General features: G+C 36.0%; 1 protein-coding gene and 1 long non-coding RNA gene across 4 annotated transcripts in view; both read left to right on the top strand.

Annotated features, from left to right (window-relative positions):
- The window catches only part of LOC124907906 (uncharacterized), a 31,096-nt gene extending 4,682 nt beyond the window's left edge, over nt 1-26,414 (top strand). The window contains exon 2 of the long non-coding RNA XR_007087307.1: nt 10-26,414. This is a non-coding gene — a long non-coding RNA (uncharacterized LOC124907906). The remainder of the gene's footprint in view (nt 1-9) is intronic.
- OLA1 (Obg like ATPase 1) overlaps nt 1-27,891 on the top strand; it is a 176,086-nt gene that overhangs the window by 37,119 nt on the left and 111,076 nt on the right. The gene's annotated exons all lie outside the window — the stretch shown is intronic.

The raw sequence follows: 27,891 nt of genomic DNA, 5'->3' as shown, positions 1-27,891 counted from the left end.
TTTTTTAAGCTGGGCTAATCATGGTGGTTCTACCAGGATGATTTAGGTAAGGGGTTTACCCTCAGATAATGAACTTAGTGGGTTCTGTTGTTAGAGAACTTACTTCCTCGATTGTTCTCATAGTGTTATGTTTGTACACTCTGTTCTACCATAAAGTGATATTCTAAGAAACTTTAGTGTAGTGAGAGAAAGAGAGAGAGAGAGAGAGTGTGTGTGTGTGTGTGTGTGTGTGTTGTGGGGAGGAGGAAGGGAGGCTAAGGGAAGGGACGGCTGCCCTTACCTCTTTGTCCTAATAACAAATGAATTTCTTTGCACGCAACTGACTTTTCCCTATTCTGTGTATTCTTGGTGAGGGAATATTATCTAGCTTCCTCCTTCCACCTCAGGAGTGTGAAGGGGCCTTATCTATCCTCTGCCAGGTAGAGCCAGGAAGTGGCCACTTAACTTAAGCTGGACTTAGAAGGATGCAAAGCTGGAGGGAACATCATTGAGAATTCAGTATTTCATTTCATATGGCCTTTTCTTTTTCAAAGGTAAGAATGATGATAGAGGAAGAAGCACAGCCTTTTAAGTAGATTTCAGCAATCTTATTGTCTTTATACCAGTTGTTTTAATATATGCAGTGCAGAATCACTTAAACAAAATTCTTTTCTTGATTTGTCAAAGCAAAGGAAAACCTATGCTAGTTATGCCAGCCACTGTTGTTTGATATAATCAGTAGTCATCTACTTGCTAGCAAAAAGCATTCCCTTATAGTAGATTTAACTGTATGCAATTTAGGTACAAAAACTTGTGTTTTAGAAAAAATGAGGGTCATTCTATAGTACATATAAAGTTATGATTTAATTATGTGTTTACACCCCTTTCCCTTATACCTTATGAGTAGACAGTTTTGGTTTTATCAGTTTTGCACTCCTTTTGATTATAAATGACCAAACAAATGCTATTACTTAAAAAAATTAATTGTAACTTTGTAATACATGTTACAAAATGTATATGTAATATATAAAAATTCTAAATGATGTATGCGTATTTTAAACAAAATAGGAAATAATTAAGGTTCAAAATAAAATATCATGTTTGCCCCTGTTCCCAGTCTCCAGAAGTAACTGCTTTTCCTTGTTTTTAAAATCAGAAAGGACATATGCTTTTCTTCTCCTGATTATATGTGTAGCACATGTATGTTGTACAGTATTCGTTTTCAGTAATTAAAATATGATAGATATAATGTAGAAAGTGAAATCCTATGACATCTACTGTCAGTTTTGGAGCATATGCCTCCAAGTTTGTTTTTATTCTTGAATATATCTTAATGTAAATTGTTGTTAATTTTTTCCCACAAGTAGAATAATTCTGTATATACTTCCTTGATGATTTAATTTGATCTTTGATATAATTTTTTCATCTTTCCTTGTCAATATTGATACTTTATTTTTTAGCAGCTATACAGATTTCATTATATGGATATATCATTGGTTAATAGTTCCTTATAATATTGTTATAAACAATTCTGAAGTGAACATTGTTACACAGAACATTCACGTTATTCTTTTGCAAACTTATGTGAATAGTTCTGAAGGATAGATCCCAAGTGAAATTACTATTCTAAAAATATATCATTTTATAATTACATCAATTTATTTCTTCATTTAGGAAAATTCTAAGATCTTCACCTTTACAGTCTTATTAGGCCACCTGGGAGGGGACAGTGAACCAACATTATGATTATTTTTTCTTTAGAGCCCAAGTTTCTACTGTATGCAGCTACCAATAGAGTCTCTTTTGCCCCTACTTCTTGAATCTCCTTATCTTAAATTGTTCACCTCTGCTTCAGCCCGAGTTTTTAATCTCTCCCTGCTCCTTTGGAGTTGATGTTTCTTGCTGACCCTTGATTTGGCAGCTAGCCCAATGTGCCCACTCTGTGTGCTCAGGAAACCTAGCCCGGCCCAGGATTCTTGGGCCCTTTCATTTGCTTAGAAAAAAAATTGGAAATTATGTATACTTGGGATATGAAAAACAGCATGTGATAAGTGGCCAGATGAATGGTATATAAAATTAGTCATATATCAGAGAGGGATAGAAGCTCTAGAGATAGTTTGGGTCAGGTTATATAGATATCAGGATGAAAATACAGAATTATTTTTATGAGTAGTAGAATGTATTGATGATTTTTATGCTGGCAAGTGTATAGCTTCGTAAGTGTTTCAGGAAATGTATTAGATTTGAAGAAGACTATAAGATGGGTGATTAGTGAAAACATTGTTTTGTTTATTTATTTATTTAGAAGCTGGATCTCATGATGTTTGTTGCCCAGGGTGGTCTCAAATTTCTAAGCTCAAGCAGTCCTACTGTCTCAGTCTCGCAAGCAATAGCTGAAACTACAGTCATGCGCCACCATGCCCAGAGAATGCATTGTTTTAACAGTCCATGTTAGAGGCCTCAAAATAGAAAGGAAGGGACAGACTTGAAAGACGTAGACATGAGTATAGAGTTGATGGTAGTGTTTTTACTAACTTTACGCAGTTTTTGTATATTGTCCATTTATTTGATGCTCTGATACATTAAAGCTATTGTCCTTTCTGCCAAAGTTCTGAGAAGAGAACCTGGCTAAGGGAATAGATAAGAAGTTGTGTGTGTGGAAGTTGGTGATGGATATGCATGGAGGAGGGAGTACAGATATGTAGAGTAAACAGAGCACACCTTATGCTGATAGTACCACTGGTGAACATCAGGTTTGGTGGGAGAGCTTTGAATAAGAGGGAAATGTATAATCTACTTTCAGCTTTTAAAATTTTCAATTTGACTCCTGGTACTGCTTTGCTCCCATCACATGGTAAATTGATATTGGTGACCATAAAAAAGCTTTAACGCCGAATTTGATTTTGAAACATCTTGGACAGACCAAGCCCTATATTCTTCTGAGGTGAGAGGAAGAGAGTCATGAATAGCAAAGATGATTGCTACGTGGTATGTTGTATAGCTGATTAGAGAGGCGCATTTTCAGAGGTGCATTTTTCAGAGGGAGGAAAATTCATACTACCCCTTTTTGGGGCAAAGAAGTTGAGGGAAAGTAGAAATATAGGCATTATAGTAGACCCTTGACCTTTTCTAATTTAATAATAATGGTTTGGACTATTTTTAAGCGATTCTGAAGATACAGGACATGATATTTACTTGTAATTTTGCTGACCCATTAATTTGAATGGCTAGAGCTCAGAGGCTGATTAGCCAAGTGATTATAGCAGATCATTTTATTGTTTTCTACGCATCCTTCTCCCAGCAGTAACATCAATTTTTTTGCTGTATTTATAAAGTCGTGGATGATAAAGGTTATAGGTGAACTGTATTTATGAGCCTTAATGTCCTTTGCAAATCTAAATAAAGTGTGCAAATTTTGTAACATAGAAATGCATTACAGTCATCCCTCGCTATATGTAGGGAGATCAGTTCCACGAGTGCCTATATTTTGCATTGGGCCAATACTGTATTTTCTGTCCACATTTGGTTGAAAAGGTCTGTGTTTAAGTGAATCTGTGCAGTTCAAACCTGTGTTGTTCAAGAGTCAACTTTACTTATTTTCTCTCATAGTGATATTTGCAATGTTAGACTTAAGTTTTTTTAGCCAATAATTTAATTTCTGTTTGATTTTACTTTTCAATCTGTATTTTCCTTAAAAGAGTCTATTTTAGTAAGTAGAGCATATCAATTTTTTTGAATAACTGCTAGCTGTACTGGTTTTGATGTCACTCTTTATTTTGAAAGATCTATACAGTTTTATAGTTATTAGAAAAATAATTCCATCTCTTGCCCCCATCTCCCCAAATGTGATATTCACCATTGACTGATTTCACTTCTCCCTTGGCCTTCACCACTCATAGGCTGGTCAGACAAGTTCTTAAGGAAATAGAACTAACATCAATCGATGTAGGTGATTTTTGTGCAAATGGTTAGAATTTTTGGCTAGGAAAAATAAAAGCCCTTATCCTTTTTCCTTTGTTATTAATGACAGATGTGACTTCATTCTGTTTTATATCACTGTTCCTCTGTATCTGTTTGAATTTCATATGTTTAAATTGCTCAGGGCTTTAAAAATAAGATTCCAGAGAGCTACTTTAGTTTTGTTGTGGGTGTTTGGTTAAAAAGAGGTGAAGGTGGCACTGATGAAAAAATAGTTTCTAAGTTGCCTTTTTAGTTTATATGGAATTGTAGCCCTTAAGGCATTACAGCTTTATTGAACTGCTAAATGAGAAGGTAAAAATGCCTTCATTTAATTGCTCCCCCCCAACTTAGGTTAAGTTAGGTGTTGTTTATATGTCTTGTAAATCACCTTTAGTAACCATGAACATAAATTACTGTTTTCAAGAGCCCACCTTCCTCCGCCATAAGCACATCATTTAAAAGTTTTAAATGAGTCACACATTTTTGCCTAGACACAAATTGCCAATATAAAGCTGTCTTTGATTGTATCCTAAAATAATGGAGTTTTTTCCTTGGGTCCTGTAATTTTCTTTTTCAGCAGTATTTATTAAATTACTCTAGTATTGGATTGCAGTAAACAATCTGACCAAAAACCATATGTTTTCTTTGTTTCTTCAGTACAAATTCAATGGGTTAAGTAATTATGCAGTGGTTCTCATCTACATATACAATGCATTCTAATAACCAACTTCTGTTTATTGTGGAAAATATTGCAGCAGTAGGAAGCAGTTCCTTCTACTTTGCATTGTAATATTGTATCAAGCTATTTAATCTACTGGCTATTTACAATTTAATTTCATGAATATATCCTTATATTCATTCATGGTGGTCTTATATCTAAGTGATTGGTGATTGAGGCATTTGTATTTTTTTCTGGAATATCTTTTCTGACATGTTTTTGAAGGTCTTCTTTCCTGTCCTCTCTGCCCAAAATAGCTGACTGGGTTCTGATACAGAAACTCTGGTATCTTGAAATTCCTCAGGGATGTGAGGGCAACTTCTAAGGTACTGGAGAGTCTCTTGATCTTTAATGATCAGTTTTTTTTTGTTTGTTTGTTTGTTTTTTTAAGAGATGAGGTCTCACCATGTTGCCTAGGCTGTCTTCAAATTTCTGGGCACTAACAATCTTCCTGCCTCAGCCTCCTGAGTAGCTGGGACTGCAGGCTTGCACCACTGTGCCCAACTTAGCATCAAGTTTGAACCTCATTTTTCTTGTCAGAATGCTGTCATTATAAGTTAAAAATGTAAGTATTGAGACTGATTTGGTTTTGAAAATGAAGGCACTTGTTGTTATATGTAACTTGGATGAATGAAATCAGTTGAGCATTTGTGTTTTATTAAAGTGAATCTTCATTTCCTTATAACTGTCCTTTTTCAAATTTTACATTGATGCCTTTACACCACTCATTGCATGCCAGATACAGTTTTCCTACGTCAGTGACTTATAATTTTGAGCTTATGGCTTGGTAGTGCCATTTGCTAGCCCTGGCAGTTGAAGGAAAGGCAGGGCTATAGGGCTCTAAGGCTCTATGGGCTGTAGGCTGTGTTGCAGGACTGGTCAAAATAATCACAAGTTTTCTGTCTCTACATTGGCGATGTCAGGGCTTCCCCTCAGAATCCCCAGACTGTCCATGTGCCTGGAATTTGTTTATTCAGGGCCATGGTGTCCCCTTGACCGGTCCATCTTCTCCTCCCACTCCAACTCTGTCTTTGCTGTCCTTGCTCACTCTGTGGCAGGAAGGAACATTACCTGACTGTCCTGGATTTGACTGACTCAGCTCTTGCCATAGTACCTAAGGAAGACCCCATTGAACCAGCAGAGATTTAGATATTTTGTTTGTATTTCTCACAGGTAAGGGGTTAGGTCAGGGGAGATGGTCTTGTTCCTCTTCCCTAGTTCCTGAGGTGAAAAGGACAACTGTATCCACCTTCTGTTCAGTTCAGCTATGAAGGTCTTCTCTTGCATTTCAGGTTGCCAGATGAGTAGAATCAAAAACTAGGGATTACTTTATAGATTTCTGGGAATAGTGTTCTTTATCTTCCAATTAACTCAATGTTCAAGTATATTTAAAAGTATTAGGTGTGAAGGTGCAGGGCAGGTGTCTTGAAATCTTCTCCGCCCATTTTCCTAACTTGTTTTTTTCCCCATTTTTGTATATATAGGCTGAATTCTGATTTGTATATTGTAGGTAACAATTTCATTTGGGAAAGAACTCTAAATTGAAATTATTTTGAATATGATTTTTAAAAAATTGAAGCAGTGTTATATTCAGGGTAACAGCTATACCAGGGGTTGATGACTTTTAAAGAACTGAGGAAGATATACCAATAAGGAAGTTTACTATATGCGATAATTTAAATGTAGAACCACAATCTTAACACTTTAACACCGTTTTAGATATGACCTGCTGTTTATATACTTATGGTGCTGTAATGGGAAGGGAGTCAACTGAGTAACAGGGAAGGGAATTTATTGATGTTAGGGGGCCAGAAACTTTATGGTGATATAATTTGATTCTCCTAGGAACCTATGAATTTCATATTATTACCGCATTTTAGAGATGGGGAAACTGATTCTCGGAGAATTTAAAAATTTGTCAAAAAATCACATAGCTGCTAAGTGGCGGAATCAAGATTTTTAGCAAAACTTCTATCTTTCCTCTACTGTATATCTATTTCTTAAAGTTTTTTTTTATGAATATTATATCTTAAAACATTTTTCTTGTTTTGGAATAGCTTTATTATTAATAATAGCTTTAGTGAAGGAATAATATTTCATTGTCTCAATGGTGTACGATTTATCATTCTCTAATTTTTAGACAGCTGGATGTTTTCAGTTATTTTGCTATTATAGGTAGCTCTTTAGTGAGTGACTTTATCCATTTATATTTTTATCTTTATTGAATTTTTCCTTACAAAGTATTTATTGGAGATAAATTAATGAATCAAAGATTATATTTCTCTTCTAGTGGCTCTTGTTATACAATACCATGTTGATTTCCAAAAGGATTTTTTAAATTTGCTTTTCTTTTTTTGAGACAGAGTCTCGCTCTGTCGCCCAGGCTGGAGAGCAGTGGTGCCATCTCGGCTCACTGCAAGCTTTGCCTCCTGGGTTCATGCCATTCTCCTGCGTCAGCCTCCCGAGTAGCTGGGACTACAGGCGCCCGCCACCACACCCGGCTAATTTTTTGTAATTTTAGTGGAGACGGGGTTTCACCATGTTAGCCAGGATGGTCTCGATCTCCTGATCTTGTGATCCGCCCGCCTCGGCCTCCCAAAGTGCTGGGATTACAGGCGTGAGCCACTGCGCCTGGACTAAATTTGCTTTTTAAAAATAATTACTGGCTGGGCACAGTGGCTCACACCTGTAATCCCAGCACTTTGGGAGGCCAAGGCAGGTGGATCACGAGGTCAGGAGTTCAAGACCAGCTTGGCCAAGATGGTGAGACCTCGTCTCTACTAAAAATACAAAAATTAGCTGGGCGCAGTGGTGCACACCTGTAATCCCAGTTACTCGGGAGGCTGAGGCAGGAGAATCACTTGAACCCGGGCGGCAGAGGTTGCAGTGAGCCGAGATCGTGCTGTTGCACTCCAGCCTGGGCGACGGAGTGAGACTCTGTCAAAAAAAAAAAAAAATCCTACTCCGTTTAACCAACTGTAAATATAAAATTGTACAGTATACATAGGGAATAACTTAAAGTGTATGTATTTCAGTAAAATAAAATAACAAAGCATCTATTTACCCTATCTAGAGTAAAATGGAGGAGCTGGGGAACCATCATGTGGAAACAGCTGGAGAAGTCCCGAGAATAGAACTGTTTCTAAAGCTGATAGAGACCAGGCACAGTGGCTTCTGCCTGTAATCCCAGCATTTTGGGAGGCTGAGGCAAGAGGATCACTTGAAGCCAGGAGTTCGAGATCAGCCTGGGTAATAAAGCAAGACCCCATCTCTTAAAAAAAAAAAAAAAAAGATGTTAGCTAGACAGTAGTTAGGAGTGAGTGCACTTGAATTTGTTAGGGTGATGGTTTGTACCTGGTTTGCTGTAATTGGCAGGGTGTTGCAGTTAATCTTTACGAATTGAATTTGATGTAAATAAAGATCAGGCTATAATTTAAATTTGAATTTTAATCCCTCTTTGTTAAAATCCCTTTCTGTTCTTCTCATCACCCTTTCTTTGCTAACATTGTAATTTATGGTGAGAGAATTTTAGTTTGCTTCATTTGATTTGAGAAGCCTTAGGAGACTGGCCTATTTTACTTGCAAATAGAAGGTTTATACTGAATATTTACGTAGAAGGATCATTATGTTTTAAACGTCACTATTTTTTTTTCAGTAAATGACATGTTCGATAATATTTTATTAAATCTAGAAAAGGAGACAAAGTTGATGTCATTTCAGATAGTATAGTTACAGATGGTTTCTGTGAAAATGTGTGCACATTTATGTACAGTTGACCCTTGAACAACACAGGGGTTAAGGATGCTGACCTCCCACTCAGTTGAACTGTGTGTAACTGAGTTCTGGGGAGATTCTGACTCCCCAAAATCTCTACTGTTGAGCAGAAGCCTTACCAATGACATAAACAGTTGATTGACACATATTTTGTATATGTGTTATATACCGTATTTTTGAAGTAAGCTAGAGGAAAGACTATTATTAAGAAAATCATAAGGAAAATAATTTACAGTACTGTACTTCTGATACCATAAGTTCATATTATCTGTTTACAAGATGAGTCTTCTGAAATGGTAGCAACCACAGCTGTAGATCTCAATCTACGGTCCCTATTAAGTGGACCTTCTAATCTGTGGTCCAATTCAACATTTCGTTGTCAAGTCATGACATTTCTCTGCTTCTTGGGAGCACTGCCAGCATCACTAGTGGCACTTGGTATGGCTCCCATGGTGTTATTCAAGGTTTACAATATAGCATTAAACACAATGAAAAAAACACAAGAACTGCAAGAGATCACTTTTTACTGTAATACACAATTTTCTGGAGAGATAAACTGCTCACAGGAAGATGATTAATGTCTCACAGTGTCTTAAGCGGATACTCGCAACACTCAAGCTCATCCCAATAGCAACAGGAGGTGGCGGTGAAATTATTATGGTAGTACAGTATGGAGTACAGTTAATTTTATGCAGTTATGATTTCATACTGCATCTTTATGTTTGTTTACATTTCTTTCAACTGTGAATGGTGTCATATAACAATCTAAGTGCGCATGTGTACATTTTGATAAATTCTTAAGTTTTTATAATTTATATATATTTTATGTTAGTAGATGATAGACTAGTGTTTGCATATTTTTATGCATTCATGACATACCTAACTGTAAACATTTTTCAGTATTTCTAGGTTACCCGGTTTATCTGTGAGTTTTTTTCAAACTTGCAAATCTTCAAAAATTTAAAAATATGTTTATTGAAAAAAATCCACAGGCAAGTGAACCCTCTCAGTTCAAAGCCATGTTGTTCAGGGTCAATTCTATTATATTTCCATGTCATTTTTATAACTACCCATACTGGCTAAAGGCAAAATGGTAGCTTACCTTTATTGGACTGATAATGATATCCCTTGATAGTTGGTAAAAGGAGCTGTTTTACCCAGCGTTTTCCCATTATCTTCTTTCTTTCCCATTACATGATACGAATGGTAACAATGTACTTTTATGAGAGGCTTTATTTATTGAGGATTAATGTGTTATAAGCAGTATAATAAAGGCTTTATTATTACATCTATTAACTCTCTCAAGATTTGCATGAAGTACGCAGTACTATTCCCATTTTGCATACTAAAGAAACAATTCTAGTACTTTGAGGGGGCTGTGGCAGGAAGATCGCTTGAGTCTAGAAGTTCAAGTCCAGCCAGGACAACATAGTGAGACCCCCCTTCTCTACTAAACAATAAAAAAAATCAGCCGGGCATGGTGGCGTGTGCCTGTAGTCTCAGTTACTCAGGTGGCTGAGGATCTACTGAGGTGGGAGGATCACTCAAGCTCAGGAATTTGAGGCTGCAGTGAGCCATGATTGTGCCACTGCACTCCAGCCTGGGCATTAAAGGAAGACCCAGACACTGTCTCTTAAAAAGAGAGATGAAGTGACTTGCTTAAGTTAGTAAATGGAAGAACTGAGAGTTTAATCTAGGATCTGTGACCTGAAACCCATCATTTTAACTTCTCTCATATTGTATGTTGTGTGCATTTTTAGTTAATTGACTATAACACTCATGGTTACATGCTTTAAGCCTTTAGTCTCCTCTACCTTACAACCCATTTACTTAAGAAAATCTTCGCATTCTCTTTTTGAACCTAAAATACTCGTGATGATACTTTGATGCCGACAAGCATTTCTAGGAATAGAGTGGAGAGGGCAAGAGAGATCATCTTTAGTCAGACAAGTTGTAATTTTGTTTGGTTCTTAAAGGTAGGTGTTTGGTGTAGGTTTCTTTGAAGGCAATTTATGTATGGTAAGGGAAATATAGTTTACTTTAGAAAGTAGATGCTTACTATTGATTAGTATCAATGAATCAGTATTTTCTGCAGAATTTAAACAATTGTATTTAAGGGTTACAAGATCTTATTTTTACCAAATGAGGATTCCATTGAAATGCTTTACTGTCTTAAGCCTCCTCCCCTTACTCCTTGGAGATGTGGATGGGATTAAAAAAAAAAGAATTATATTGATGTTTTCTTTGGATAAAGTTGTTAAAATAATGAGTTGGTTCATTAGGCTCCTCCAAAGGTAGATAATGATACCTTCTGATTTCTTTAAACCTCCTGGGTTTAAACATTTGTTATGTGTCCGTCCATTGCAGTTATCCATATTGATATTCCAGTTGTTCCAGGGGAATCTCTTCAAGTTGGTTCCTGAGCACTTTTGATGCCACATTAGTGGTCTTTGATAGCTTTCTTGCTGTCTGGTATGATCTCAAGGGTGTTCCAGGCCTATCTTTTTATATCCTCCCCAGTTCTGGAAATAGCCAAGTGTCCAAGGAGCCTTGGTTTCTTTTTCTAACTGCTATAATCTTTCTCACTCAACTATCCTTTGTAGCTCCTAGAAAAACGTATTTTTATAGAAAAGAATGTAACTCTTCATCCACCTGTCTTCCTATGGAAAGACAGAAATATATCTTGGAAGGAATTGGTATTAATAGCCTCCAAAGTAATGGTTCTCAAAATTTTTTATCTCGAGACTCTAAAACTTTTAAAATTATTAAGGGCTCTCAAAACCTTGTGCTTTTGTAGGTAAATGTCAATCAGTATTTACCGTATTAAAAATTAAAACTAAGATTTTTAAAATGACTTAATAATTCATTTTAAAACCACAGTAAACCCATTATATGTGTACATAATATATTTTTTGAGAAATGATTACATTTTCTAAAACAAAAATATTTAATGAGACCAAGAGGGATTGCTTTTTTTTTTAAATAAATTTCTTTAATGTCCAGCATAAGAGAGGACAGCTGGATTCTTATATCTGCTTGTACATTTAATCTAACACTGTATGTTGTTTTGGCTGAGGTATATAAAGAAAACCTGGCCTCAGATATGTGGTTAGAAAAGGGAAGAGTATTTTAATAACCTTTCAGATAATTGTGAATATTCTTCTTTGATACTACATCAAAACTTGACAAATAATAGTATCTTAAAAGTTAATCGGAATGTGGAATCTGCAACTATAACAATGAACATTCTGTACTCATATTAAAGTCCCTTAGTCTATCTTGTACTTTGAGTGACTCTTTTACCCATTTGGTTGTTTGGAAAATGCTGATTCTTGGTGAGTGATACAGATATTCCAAATCTTGAGACCTTATGTGATACAGTATCAAAAAAATCAAATCTGTTGATATCACCACAGATCTCATCAGAAAAATCTTTAAATATTGGGAAGTTGTCAGGGTTACAGTGGCAAATGCACATTTTCAAAAATTATAATTTTTACTTGAAAGTCTGAATCCTGCCACCTCCCAACCCCCCACTATCTTGCCAGGTCTTATTAACACTTGACAAGGAATGGAGCATTGGCTGTGTTTGAGCAGCTGCCCCCTGCTAGTGTGTAATTCAGGGAATTGGGAACATGGGAATGTTTTTGGGTGGTGTGGTCTGTGTCTGCCCCATCCTGAGCTTTCCCCCGGTGGCTGAGAGCCTGAATTTTATAATTTACAAGAAAATGGCTGCCAGATACAAAAGATTAAATAACCATAGTTTGAATGTCAGTTATTTTTTCACATAGAAATGGGGTTCTACAAAAAAGTGGCCAGTTCAGCTTGCAACCCAAATGCTTTCCTTTAACAACCATTATTTTGGTATGTAGCAGAAACATTTTATGCATACTTCTGTTTCCTCACCCAGCACGTTAGAGATGTATACCCAAGGGTTGAGATACAATAAAATTAATAGCCCTTACTGATTCATCAAGGACTGCCTTAGGTGAAACTGGGTTGTTTATTTTTAATTGTGATGAATACATTGACCAAGTACAATATGACCTTGATTCATGCTAAGATACTAGCAGTTTTTCCCACAATTACTTTTGTACCATGACTGCTGATGTCAATACAGTGAAAAAGGCAAATAACATGTTAATATTATTATGAAATTACATATATGTAAAACTATATATATATAGACAGAGAGAAATTTTGAGACAGAGGCTCACTCCATCACCCAGGCTGGAGTGTAGTGGTGTGATCTTGGCTCACTGCAACGTCTGCCTCCCAGGTTCAAGCAATTCTTGTGCCTCAGCTTCCTGAGTAGCTGGGATTACAGGTGCCCACTGCCATACCCGGCTAATTTATGTATTTTTAGTAGAGACAGGGTTTTGCCATCTTGGCCAGGCTGGTCTCGGAACTCTTGACCTCAAATGATTTGCCTGCCTTGGCCTCCCAAAGTGCTAGGATTACAGGCATGAGCTACTGTGCCTGGCCTAAAATAATATTTTGACCTTGAAGACTCCCAGGGGTTTATGGACCATACTTTAAGAACCCCTGCTTTAAGTTATTTGAAAATATCCAGAAGCCTATATTAGTCTTTATTAATCTGCCCACTTTCTTGTTTTTAACTTGGATTTCTTCAGTTCCTACAAGTGCATGTAAATGACATTAATTTAGAACTCAGTTTTACCATTTTTGCTTTGCAAGCATTGCATATAAAATTTTATTGCAGGCTGGGCACGGTGGCTCATGCCTGTAATCCCAGCACTTTGGGAGGCCAAGGCAGGCGGATCACAAGGTCAGGAGATCGAGATCATCCTGGCCAACATGGTGAAGCCCCGTCTCTACTAAAAATATAAAAATTAGCTGGACGTGGTGGCATGCCTGTAATCCCAGCTACTAGGGGGTGCTGAGGCAGGAGAATCGCTTGAACCTGAGAGGCAGAGATTGCAGTGAGCCGAGATCATGCCACTGCACTCCAGTCTGGCGACAGAGCAAGACTCCATCTCAAAACAAAACAAAACAAACCTTTATTGCAAATGTGCAGAGCTTTCAGCTACGTGATCATTTGAAAAGACTGAATAGCTATTGTATGTTTTGAACCCCTTGCTTACAAATTAATATTTGGCTATACTGTGTCAATAAATTGGATGTTAAACCTACACTCCAGCATTAAACAGTTTTAATGTGGGTTTGAGGTATTCCTTGCTTATATTAATGTGACTGTAAGAGAAGTTGTAGATCACATTTGCCTATTTATTTTTTCTTCATTTCTTAGTAGCTTAATTCCATCCCTCTTCACCCTTTAAACTACAGCAATTGTCACCCTTTGAACTAGAACAGCTAAAATCACTTAAGAGAAATAAGGATCCTTTGTGTACAGGAACATTTAGAGGTAGGGAAGTGGGAAGAATCCTTCACAGTGTAATTCATTCCTAATCAAAAATTTTCCCCCCTGGGCTTCATTGGAGTTGGGGGTGGGAGAGCGAGTACCTATGTTTCAGACTTTTGAAGTTTAATTTCATTCTGACTTGGAATTATTCTCATAAAAAAAAAAAACAACAAACCAACAACATCAAAACAACATACCTTCTAGCGCTTTATTAAAAGGTTAAATCCTTAGGTGGTGGTAGTAGGGGGGAATGCTAATCATTCTGGACACTGCCATCTGTTTCAATTTTTGCCATCAGTGAGAAACTGCCCCCAACACTGCAGTTAATTAGGCCTTTAGAGCTTGGGTGTTTGTTGTTTTGTTTAGCTTCTATGGGAAGGTTTTCTCCAGCACTGAGTAACAGTAGCCAGATATCAATTAACCTATTTATGCCTAAGTGTTCCATTATTGGAACACTAAGCTTGTGGGAGTTATTTATATCTTACTGCACAAGGTCTTCTCCATGGTCTGATTTTTCACACAAAAAAACAACTTGCCACCTCTGGTGTAAATGGGTTAATAGAACAAATGTTAAAAAATATTTGAAAATATTGTAACATAAATTATTAACCTATAGAATACACTGGCAACATATTACTACATTGGTAATATATCAATACATTGTCTTATATAAACATTTTTAGCCCAGCATTAATTCTAGTTTGTCTGATTCAGCTTCTTTTTTAGGTTGAGAATATTATATTTCCCTATTTAAGAGTTCTTTTAGTTATTCAAAGATTATAGCAGATATTCTGACAGGGCATATTATAAAAACGTTGATTGTGAACATGTTAAAAGCTTCTCTTCAGTATTTTCTTTTTATAAACCACCTGTTGTCTTATGTGCATAGCATATACATTTGAACAAAGTGCTCATCACTTGTCAGCCATCAGTGGCAGCATAGAAATTACTTGTGGTACTTGCTTTGCAAGAAATTCTTTTGTATTTGTGACATCAGCTTTGTTTTATACAATTAAAGTATTACACGCTAGAATAATCTAAATTACAACCACCAAATGGTGATGAAGTTCTTCCCTTGAACTGAATTTGTTTACTTAATGTGTGCAGCTATTGACTATTATTTAAAATGACAGTTTCATAAAAATCTCTCCCTTATTTTGGTAGCAAATAAGAAGGTGTTGTAATATTAAAGGTATTTCTCAATTTTAAAATGTACTTTGAATAAATATTACATTAAGAGATAAAGTGTGGAAAATCCCATGTGTGTGAAAATCCTTCAATTATACAATTTGATTTTCAAATGAAATTTAATGCTCTTAATATGATACATTCATGATCACTTTAATAGTATTTTTCTAATTTTTAAATTCCCAGTTAAAAGCATTTTGCACTCATTTTAATTCATTTTCTTCTGTTAAAAAGGAACAAAATATAACTGATTAAAACTTAAGATTGATATTGGAATAAATATTTAGACTGTTAGATAACTTCTTTTATATTCGCATGAGCATTAACTCTACACAGCAATCTAGATGCTTAGAGAACCATACCAATGCATTCTAAGTAATTGAGTTTTTTTCCTTTAATGTTTTGTTAAATAATCCTGGTTATAATTTATTTGAGTAAGTTAACAGTACTAGTATATTGACATTATTTGGGTTGACAAGTATTTTTAGATAATTATTTCACTGAACATGTTTCGGGACTAATGGAATAAAATTACTCATTTAAAGTAAGTTTATTATCTTGTACTTTGTAAAAAGCTTTAAGAATGTCACTGTTATTTAATAATAGGTAAAAGGTATATTTAGTTTTAATTTTAATAACAGGTAAAAGGTATAGTATAAGGATGTTTTCTAAAGTAGCCAGTGGTATGCCTCTGCAATATAATTGGCTTGCTAAACCTCAATAATAGTTGGCATACAGAAACTCTACATGAATTCAGTGATTAAAAGCAGGAAAACTACTTAAAATAAGACCTTTTTGTTCTTTTTAGAAACAATCTAAATGAGAACTTTATATTTGCAGGAACAAGATTTGGCATTTCTTTTTCACTGCTTGGTTGCTTTGATGTGAGCAGTATAATGTAGTGGACATTAGTATATAAGTAAATGATTAAATGAGTCATAAGATGGAACATCTGCCTGAGAAGGCCTTTCAGACAGCATGAGTTATGTTGTTGAAGTCTCTAATCAGTGCATCTGTCCCTGAGACTTCAGTTGGTACAAGGATAGTTTTCTATTTTGGATTAGTTACTATATGAAGACAGCATATTTAAAAAAAATTTTTTCATGCATGCAACTGGAAAATTTGTGCCTGTGATATTGGAATAAAAAAATTACAGCAGTGATTTTTTTTTTGAGCATAGTAATAAAGGATAGCAATAAGTGTATAAAATTTAACTTTTATATGCCTTAAAATGGTTATTTATGGTAGGATTTTACATTACAGACCCATAAGTCTTAATGTCTTACCTGAGGAAATATTCTTAGAAATAATGTTATTACAACAGGACATAAATTCAGATGAAGGCTGAAGCACAGCAGGATTCAGATAGGATGTTTAACTGAAACTGCAGACCATATCGTGGGTCCCTTCCGATCTGGAATATTACCATAGTTTCAAAGTTGCAGAGAGAGAGAGAGAAAATATGAATATGCACGTTTGTATGTTGTATACAAGATAAAAACTCCTAACCAAGAGCACATTGTAGAATACCAGAGGATGATGACATAGAGTTGTGGTAAATGTATGTATGTTTTATTCTTTATAATCAACAAGCCACAGGAGACAAATTCTTGTGATCATAGTTAATTTTCACTAAAGGGTGCAATCGAAAGAAGAAATTGGCTCTTCTTTCCTTCAAAAATTTATACTTAGCTGTTCAATTAAACTTTTTTACAAGAAAATAATGAGTGTAATTAAAGGAGAATATGGGGGTTTGAGTAAGAATTGGGCACATGTTAATTTACGTATTGGGATTTTTAAATCTTTGAAATATAGACCAGTCATCGGGAAATATTTTTATTTTAAAAAGGGGTTTTAAAAAGTTGTGAGGCCCTCTAGTTTTTGCCCTGGGGTGTAGAGAGCCGGAAGGAGTATCACTCCCACCCTCGCAATGAAAAAGAGCCTGACTAACTTTAAAATGTAAGGATATACAGTGCCTATGGGGATGGAGGAGACATGAACCCACACTCAACTTGGATAGACACAACGGGACACCAGTGAGAAGAGTTCAGCTAGAATTGGGACAGATTAGTGAAGGTTGAGTCCAGGCCAGCAAGAATTTGTGATGTCCGTGAAGGCTGCAGAAATTGGGGAACCTGGTACCCTCTTGTATATTCTTTCTTCACTAGTGGATGGGGTAGGAATCCCAGGAGATGGGAAATGGGAAAGAGTCCCCAAAAGTATGCGATGTGGCACACACCCTGGGGACGAGAACAGCGGTGACACGTGGCTTCTTCCTTCTCTCCACTATACAACAAAAGCCATCATCTGGGAACAGTGGAGTGGAAAGGAGGTAGTAAGCACAGCAAGCCTTAGGGCCTTGATGAAATTCTGAAATTCATTGCAGTTGGGGAGAGGAAAGTGCGTGCACGTGTGTGTGTCTACTTTGTCAGGAATATGCGGGGCCCACAACTGTAGTTTAGGGCAGGAGGTTAGATAACTGATACAGCTATATCTTCAAGACCCAGGCTGACATGTGACTAAGGCTGAGCCTTGCTCAGAACAACAGAGGATTGATCTGGGCCCCCAACCATTTCTCACCATCAAACTAACAGGTTTCTAATAATAATTAACAGCTGCTGGGTTAGAGACAGGAGAGGAAAAAAGAATAGACAGCGATTCCTGGTGTAAAAGAAAGAGCTGAACTCACAATAGAATAGACATTACTCTGATAAATTAAGGCCCATCATAAAAACAAGATATTTCTACAGGAGTTTAAAGCCTGTAGTATACTCAGGGTAACAATAGTGCTAACTTCAAACCCAGCCCAGTGCCTAACTAGATAAACTCTAACCCTTCAGTAAAGGCCTAGGAGAAGAAAAGTCTTGCCCCATTTTAGGCATAAAAACTATTTAGTTTCTACTGTTGCACACAAGAGGATCAGCTTCCAATAACAACAACAACAAAAAACCATGAGATGTATTTAAAAAGCAAGAAAAAAAAGCACTCAGGGATAAAGCAATCATTGAAACTAGCCTTAGACAGCTGGGTGCAGTGGCTCACGCCTGTAATCCCAGCCCTTTGGGAGGCCGAGGTGGGTGGATCACCTGAGGTCAGGAGTTTAAGACCAGCCTGGTCAACATGGTGAAACCTCATCTCTGCTAAAAATACAGAAATTAGCTGGGCATGGTGGTGCATGCCTATAATCCCAGCTACTCGGGAAGCTGAGGCACGAGAATCGCTTGAATCCAGAGGGCGGAAGTTGCAGTGAGCTGAGATTGTGCCACTGCACTCCAGCCTGGGCAACAGAGCGAGACCCCCATCTCAAAAAAAAAAAAAAAGAAAGAAAGAAATATTTTAAGAAATAATGACCAAGAATTTTCCAAAATTAATGAGACACAAAACCATAGGTCCAAAAAGCTCAGAGAATAACAAGCAGGATAAATACCACACACATACGCTTACACACGTGGACATGTAGTATTCAAGCTGCTTAAAATGAAAGGTAAAAAGAAAATCTCTAAGGCACCCGGAGAAAAAGGTAACATTATGTATAGAGAACAATGATAGGAAGTTTGTGTGATGGCTGACTTTTCGAAACTATGGAAGCTAGGAGACAGTGGAATGACACTTTGGAAGTGCTGAAAGAAAAAAACTCAGCCCAGAAATCTGTGCCTAATGAGAATGTTTTTCAGAAATGAAACAGAAATAGTCTTTCATAGGCAAACAAAGACTAGGAATTCATTGCCAGTAGACCTACTCTACAAGAAATGTTAAAGCAAGTTCTTCAGGCAGATGGAATAAATGAAGGAAAAAATTGATATTTTATTGCTAATTCTTCTGAAATAAGAATCAGCAAACTTTTTATATAAAGATTAGATAATAAATATTATAGGCTTTGAGGGTCATATGGTTTTTGAAACTACTCAACTTTGCAGTTGTCGTGTGAAATATGAATGAATGAATGAGCACGTACCAAATATGAAGTGGTGTGTAGGCTGAGTATCTCTAATCTAAAAATTCAAAATTAAAATGCTTCAAAATCTGAAACTTTTTGAGGGCTGACATGACGCTCAAAGGAAATGCTTGTAGGAGCATTTTAGATTTTGGATTTTTAGATTATGGATGCTTAACTGATAAGTATAATGCACATATTCCAAAATCCAAAATAAATCCAAAATCTGAAACACTTCTGGTCTCAGGCATTTTGGATAAGGGATACTTATAATATCACTTAAAGGTGGACTCAGATTAATGAAAAATGTATATTGTAAACCTTTGGACAACTACTGAAAGTTTTGAAATAGAGTCATAATAATAAATCTATAGAAGAGACAAAATGGAATTATAAAAAAATCCTTAGCACAAGTCAGAGAAAGAGGAAGAAAGAAAGAATAGCTGGAGTAAGTAGAAAATTGCTAGCAAGATGGTAGATTTTAGTCCAGTCATATCAATAATATTAAATGTGAATATTCTAAATCAGGGATTGGCAAACTGCTGCCGGCTAGTTTCATTTGTTTGTACATATGTGCTGTGATCGAGAGAATTCCTGGACTTAGAGTGCATCTAGAATTTAGACAGCCATAAACATGTGCATGAGGAAGAATTTAGATAATGCACGGTGTGATCCACCAGTTTACTGGTAATTTTTTTTTCAAGAAACAATTTTTGGTTGGATGTGGTGGCTCATGCCTATAATCCCAACACTGTTGGAGGCCAAGCTGAGAGGATTGCTTGAGGTCAGGAGTTTGAGACCAGCCTGGGCAACACAGTGAGACCCCATATCTACACAAATTTTAAAAAATAATAAATTAGCTGAGTATGGTGACGGGTGCCTCTAGTCCCAGCTACTCAGTGGGCTGAGGCGGGAAGATCACTTCAGCCCAGTAGTTCAAGGCTGCAGTGAGCTGTGATTTCACCTCTGCACTCCAGCCTGAGCGACAGAGCCAGAGCCAGGACCCTGTCTTCACAAAAGAAAAAAAAAAAGAAAAGAATTTTCATTTTAGGGGAAAAAATTGACTTGGGTGAATGTGGGTAAAGATAAAAGGGGACATTGTGTTTTAGACTTTAGGAAGACTTTTCTGAAATAAAGGAGAAAGTGTTATTGTAAACATACGCTGAAGCTGTTCTGTCTTGTCAGTTTCCTAAATGACATTGGATCAGGAATTATTTTTCTGTATATACATATATTTTTAAGTATAAATTGTATATTTATGTTGTACAACATGATGTTTTCGTATATGTATACGTTGTGGATTGGCTAAATCAAGGTGTTTATACATTACCTCACATACTTGTCATTTTTTTGGTTGGGGGAACACTTGAAATCTACTCTTAGCAATTTTCAAGGATACAAATATAGTATTAACTATACTCACTGTTATGTACAATAGAGCTCTTGAATGGATTCTTCTTGTCTAAGTGAAATTTTATTTTATATCCTTTGACCCAGAGTTACTTTCCTTTTTTTTTTTTTTTTTTTTTTTTTGAGACGAAGTCTTGCTCTGTTGCCCAGGCTGGAGTACAGTGGCGCAATCTCGGCTCACTGCAAGCTCTGCCTCCCGGGTTCAAGCCATTCGACCCAGAGTTACTTTCTAATGTAAGAAGTTTTCAGAATTGATTTGTGAAACATAACCTTTTATTAGGTACACACCCATTATTCCTAGAGCTAAGGTATATTTTTGTCCTTTGGAATACTGCTGAATGTACTAAAATAGGAATGCTTCCACATTACTCTTTGATAATTACTAATGTGTGGTTGATCAAAATCTGTTCTTAATATTGTGCTTGTAACTTTCAGGTAAATCATTTGAAGCAGTACTTACTGCCTTTGAAGATAGAATTTCATGTATCCAACATAGAATTTCATTCTATGAAATTCTATAAAATATATAAATATAGAATATATTTCATATATTTCAAATAACCCAATATTTGGAAATAGGTCTGTGTATTTTAGTCCCAGCTTTGTAACTTACTAGTTTTGTGCAAGGAGTAATATTTAAGCTTCGTGAGTCTCAGTTTCCTCATATGTGAAATGGAGATGATTTTCATATTCGGTTTATAGTCATAATTAAATGAGATATATGTCAAATATTAATTACTGAGAAATACTAAACAAATTTAAATCCAAAAGTAATTGTTTTGAGCAGGTAATTACGTATGTGGCACAAAAGTAAAACAGACATAAAGGTATATGCCGAGAAGGTTTACTCCTTGTCTGTATCTACCATGTCCCTCCTCACGCCCACAGCATTTATTTTTACTAGTTCCTTATTTATTTTTCTGTAATTTCTTTATACAAATATAAACAAATGCAATTCAATATTTTTTTCCTCTTTCTTAAATGAAAAATAGCCTACCAGGTACACTGAAGTACCTTACTTTTGGCATTTACAGTCTCCTGGAGGGCCTCCACAGCAGCGCACAGTTATTGTTTTCATTTTTCTTCTCAGATGTATTTTATTTCATTTTATGGCTGTAATGTTGTTTATTCAGATCATTCAGTATTGGTGGGTACTTGAGTGTTTTCCAGTTGTGTGTGTGTGTGTTTTGTTTTTTTTTTTTTTGCTCTGATTATATTATAATGCCACAAGGCCAAATTCATAATTCAGTATATATGTCATTTCCTACTTGTATACTGAATGGGAGATAGATTTACAAAAATGGGATTGTTGGGTCAAAGAGAAAATGCATCAGTAATTATGGTAGATATTCAAGTTTCCCATTTAGGAGTTATACCATTTTGTACTGCTACCAACAGTGTATGCGAATGCCTATTTCTCTATGACCTTGCCAGCAGAATGTGTTAAACCTGCATATTTTTGCACTTTGCTAGGAGAGAATTGATATGTTGGTATAGTTTTACTTTGCTTTTCTCATTATGAGTGAGTGAGACCGAACATCTCTTCATATTTAAGAGCTATTTTTTTAATGGATTGCCTGTTCAAGTTGCTTGTCCCTTATTGTATTGTTCTTTCTTTCATTTTTAAATTTCTTAACACCTAAGACTTCTTTATAGATATCAGCCCTATGTTGTATGAGTTGCAGATTTTTTTCCATGTTTGTCATTTGTGCTTTAACTTTCTTTGTGATGTCTTGTGCTATTCAAAGTTTTTTTTAGTTGAACTGAGTTATCAGAAAGGTTTTCCTCAACCCATGGTTACAAAATAATTCACTTATATTTTCTTTCAGTACTTTTATTATTTCATTTTTTTCTTTGTAAATCTCTAATCCACTTACAGTTTATATGCACTGAGACCTAGATCCTACCTTTTTATGTTTTTTGAAAACAGCTCTTTGGTTATTCAATAATGTGTATTAAAAAGTCTATATTTATGGATTTGAGCTGCTTTTATCATATGCTAGATTCCTATGAGTATTTAGGCCATTTCAGATCTTCCTATTCTGTTTCATCAATATGCCAATGTATTTTTCTTAATGCCATACCTTTTATATAATTAAGATATAGTAATATAAGGTGAATATCTCTTATCTGAAGTGCTTGGGGCCAGAAGTGTTTTGGATTTTGGATTTTCTCAGATTTTGGAACATTTGCATATACATAATGAGATATCTTGGGTATGGGACCCAAGTCTAAACATGAAATTTATTTATGTTTCATATACACCTTATACACATAGCTGAAAGTAATTTTATACAATATTTTTTAATAATTTTGTGCATGAAACAAAAGTTTGTATATGTCAAACCATCAGAAAGCAAAGGTGTCAGTATCTCAGCCACCCATGGGGACAATCTGTAGTTGTTTTGCATCACCATCCTTCCTGACTCTGAATTTAAATGCTGCTGATAAGCAGCCATTTTCTTACACTTATTTACATCTAAGTACTTAACAGTAAATATAACATGTCATTAATATGTGAAAAGATAATGTGTTCAGGGTAACTCAGCAGCACAGTAGCATCACCAGAATACCCGTGTCAGCTGTTAGACAACAACATCCAACAGCAGCAGGCTTTCAGTCTCCATCTATGATGCTGTATTTTGACAAAAAGTTTACTGTATACGGTATTTATTATTATTATTATTATTATTATTTTTAGGAGGAAAGAAACATTAGAGGCAATTGAAGGACCAGAAAGTGGGTTTTGTAGGCGTGAGGAGACATTCTGCTCGATGGCTTTTTAAAATGTTTGCTCCAGATCATCTGCCTCATTAACAACATTTTTGTGTCTTAACAACCTCTCTGATTTTGTAAACTGACATGATTCCTTGTTCTGTTATGAACGCATGTTGTTCTAGTCCTTCTATAAGCCCATCACACATTTTCACCATGTGGTCCATATGTACTTCTGCAGAATTAATGTCCTCTCCATCATTGGTTTTATCATGATCACCTTGATTCAGAACCATTTTGGCCGTTTAACCACTGGTCAATGAATGAACAACTGGAGCCTCATTCCAGCTTGCTGACAGACTCTGAAGGTATATATTTTGCATATATAAGGAGGTCAGGCATCATTTTTTCTCACTGGACATACAGAATCCTTCACAGTCACCACCTTATTCATCATCACTCAGCATAGTCACAGGACAGAGGTTGTGTCTTTAGTTACTGTGTTCCAAACATTGGCAACAACATATGTGGCTTCCTTCATGCTAAACTCCTTTTGAAAACCTTCCATACCCCTGCCTCTGTTCACTGCTACTAGCATGCTATTCAAGAAAGTGTTTTTCTATTTACTCTTCGTTGATCTAAGGATACCCTGATCACATGACTTAGTTAAAGAAGTCACATCGGAGGAAAGTACATGGCATAAATATTACTTTTGATGAGAATTTCAGCTGGAGGATGAGCAAAACAATTTCCAAGGAATAACAAAATCTTGCAGTGTCATCCAATCCAGCTTCCCTACAGTGAGCATGAGCTGCTGGTACAAAATGTTTGTGAAACCAATTAGAAATGGTGTCTGTGGTGATCCATGCCTTTTTGTTAGCATAATGGACTGGTAAGAAGTTCACTCCTTGAAAATAGCAAGGATGCAAGCTTTTGGCTCTCACAGCAAATGTGCCTGCTGTATTAGCACATCCTAGCACAGGTATTCTGTTGTTGGCATCCTTAATTCCTTAGGAACTGTCTTATTACCTGTAGTCAGTATCTTTCTGGGGCAATAACACCAAAACAGTAGTGATTTTTCTCGAGCAATATAGACTTGTTCTGGCATCACATTTTCATCAGTGATGACCTTGGCAAATGTGTCAGTGTATTTTTCATTGATTTGTGATCAGCAGATGCTTTATTACCACAAAATTTTAAAAATTGAATAGAGTGTCTTAAATTTCTGCAACCAAACTGTTGAATATTCACAATTCCCTTTAATTTTTAGTTCTTCATGTGAATCTTTGTTTGTTTTTTGATCATATTATTAAATGGCATGTGTTCACTGTGATACTGATGGATCCACTTTTTCAATACATGATGGAGATCTTCATTTTTAGCTTTATTTGGTATTTTTCTGTTTTTCATTAACTTCTGTTCATCACTTTTGGTATGGAGTGTCAACAGTTTGCCCTTGTTTCTTCATGTCTTATATGGTGGACATTTCAACATCATGCTCTCCTGCAGGACGTTTCACACTTACCCCGCTGTCCAGTTTCTCCAGGTCTTTCTGTGCTATAGATAAACATAAACATTTCCTTTTTTTCTTATCACTGTTACCTATAGGGGCATCTGCAGGCCTTTTTTCCAACATTTTCGATAATTTTTTACACCGCAGAGCACAGAATAAGCAAAAAAAAATAGCGAGTAATGCACATAGGTCTTGGCCTTAGGTAGGAACATCAGCAGGGAACCTGTGTGTCCAGCCTGTACAACACGTGCCATTTTACTACCCTTTGTGGATGTGCTTGCCTGGGGGAATCTGGGTATGATCGGAAAAGATATGCCAGCTCAAGAGGACTAAGAGGGTCTTTTTTTCTCTTGGGGATGCTGAATAAACTGTGTGCTGTGCACTTGCATTTTGACTGTGAGCTGTCACAGAAGTCAGGTTTGAAATTTTCCACCTGTGGTGTCATGTTGGAGCTCATAAAGTTTTGGATATTGGAGCATTTTGGGTTTCAGATTTTTGGATTATGGAGTTCAACCTTATCTTGTCAAGCTTATTTCCTTTCATATTCAGAGTGTTTGGTCTTACTTGTTTATTTTTTCCATACAAACTTAAGAATCGGCTTTCTTCATCCTACAAGCAGAAATCTTGTTGGAATTATTATTGTGAAGACAATAAATTTATATGTTAACTTACTTACATGTTTTGAATCTTCCCATTCAAAAACATGATATGTTCTTTTACTTGTTGAAGTCTACTATTAGAGCATTTAGAAATGTGTTAAAGGTCTCTCATGTTGGTTTTGTACATTTCTTGTAAAGTTTATTTCTAGATGTCTTGTCTCTTTTTTGTTGGTATTGTAAATGTGTTATTCTCTTATGTAATGTTTTCTGATTGCTGTTTATATGTGAAAAATACTTTATTTATTTATTTATTTGAGTTGGAGTCTTGCTTTGTCATCTAGGCTGGAGTGCAATGGCATGATCTTGGTTCACTGCAACCTCTACCTCCTGGAGGTAGTGATTCTCCTGTCTCAGCCTCCCAAGTAGCTAGGACTACAGGCACGTGCTACCACACCTGGCTAATTTTTGTATTTTTAGTAGAAACGAGGTTTTGCCATGTTGGCCAGGCTGGTCTTGAACTCCTGACCTCAGATGATCCACTCACTTCAGCCTCCCAATGTGCTGGGATTACAGGTGTGAGCCACCGTGCCCGGCCTGAAAAATACTTTAAAAGATCAGTTTGTTTGTGTAATTCTTTATTAAGTACTGTAGAGATTACCTAAGGAAAATGTGAAAAATATTCTTTCTTCCTTGGTGACTAATATATAGGTTGAATATAAAAAAAAATGCTCATAGGAAAAAAGTCTCAAAAAATAAGTATTCGAATGTTGACAGTGGTTATTTATAGATTTCTAGATGATTTCTTCTTTTGCCTACCTATTTTAGTGGTGATTACTAGTTGTCAACCATAATCCATGCTCTCCTTCTTCTTGGCACATGGCTGCTCATCTTTACTACATTTTATTTTATTTTATTTTTTACTACACTTCCCAGTTAACCTTGAGAATATGTGTTTGTGTTTTCTGCAATGGGTTGTGAAAGGAATTGGTATGTGATACTTTTTGGACTGGATCTCAAGACATTGTGCCTTTCCTAGTAGTTGCTCTTTTCCTTTTATGCTGTTTTAATTGGAAGTACTCAGACCATTCAGATGATGACAGTGCCTTAGTGAAGAGCAGAGCCATGACTTGGAAAGTACCTGAATCTGTGAATGACTACAAGGAACGGGGATCTGCTCCACCAAGCTGGACCATTTATGTTAAGATTGAAATTAAAGAGAAATAAACTTTTCTGTTTGTTAAGCCATAGTATTTTGGAATCCCTTTCACTTCCATAGCCTTATTTATCCTAGCTAATATACCTGCATTTTCTTCACATATTATATACATACATATTACTTTATAATTTTTTTAAAAAGCTATTTTTCAAACAACTTGAGAACATATTATGCATATGATGCTTAAACTTGTTTTTCTTGTTTAACATAGTCTGAATATCTTGCCCATTTTGTTGAAATAAATGTTTTATTTTGGAACAGTGTCAGATTTACAGAAAAGTTTCACAGATGATACATCGAGTTCTCATATACCCCTCACTCAGTTTCAATTCCCTCTTATGTTATCATTTTACTATGGTACATTTGTCAAAACTAAGGAACCAACATTGGTATATTGCTGTTAACTAAACTCTAGACTTCATTTAGATTTCACCAGTTTCACTAATGTCATTTTTCCGGTCCAGGATTCAATCCAGGATATCACATTACATTTACTTGTCATGTTTCCTTAGTCTTCTCTGTTCTCCTGATAGTTTCTTAGTCTTTCTTTATTTTTCATAACCTTGACATACTTCACTGTTCAGATATTTTATAGTCTATTCCTTATATTGGGCTCATCTGGTATCTTCCTCATCATTAAACTGGAGTTATGGGTTTTTGGAAAGAATATTATAGAGGTAAAGTATACTTCACATCATATCCTGGAGTACATGATAACTACATGCCATTAGTGATCTTCCTTGCTTGGTTAAGGTAATGTTGGTCAGGTTTCTCCCCTGCAAAGTTACTGTTCTTTCCTTTCCATATTTTTCTTTTGGAAGCAGGATAAACTTGGGCCACTCTTAAAGCAGAGGAGGAAACACTCATTCTTAAATGCTAAATTTAATTTGATAGATGTTAGTTTTCATGTTCACCAGACCAACTTTGGATACTTGGATTTTTATAAAAAATTTTCATCCTATGGACAGCTGAGCAGCCAGCATGGAATCAGGCTGGAATTTCCTTCTTTAGTTGCATGGAGTATAGCCTGCTGGTTGAGAACAGGAGAGGAAGAAATGAAATCAAAGAATATACCTGTGTCTCAACCCCAAAGCCCCAGTTTTTCTATTGGTCATCTTGATTTGGAAATCAAAGCTAAATTCCTGTCTCTAGAGACCTGAACATTTCTGGTAGTATTAATGAGAAGAGATATTGAGTACCGTTTATTGAGTTCCACTTGAGGTCAGGACTCTGCAAGGCCTTCTACATGAATCATCTCATTTAATCCTAAGAGGAAAGTACTACTATTATCTACATTTTACAAATGAGGAAACTGAGACTTAGATTTTGACTTGCTTAACACTTTCAACATGCAGTGGTAGCCTCCAGATCAAAATCGTTGTTTGCTTGCTTTTGTCCTCTTACACATCACAGTACCACTAGTTCTATATCAATGAGAACAATCTAGTTATCAGAGGAGTATGGTATTTGATAGAGGGATAAGGTAGCTATTTGGGAGTACT

The sequence above is a fragment of the Homo sapiens genome, chromosome 2 (genome assembly GCF_000001405.40).
Source record: "Homo sapiens chromosome 2, GRCh38.p14 Primary Assembly".
In the NCBI taxonomy this organism is placed as follows: Eukaryota; Metazoa; Chordata; class Mammalia; order Primates; family Hominidae; genus Homo; species Homo sapiens.
Note: the sequence above shows the minus strand (reverse complement) of the source record. Positions and strands in the feature narration are given on the sequence as shown.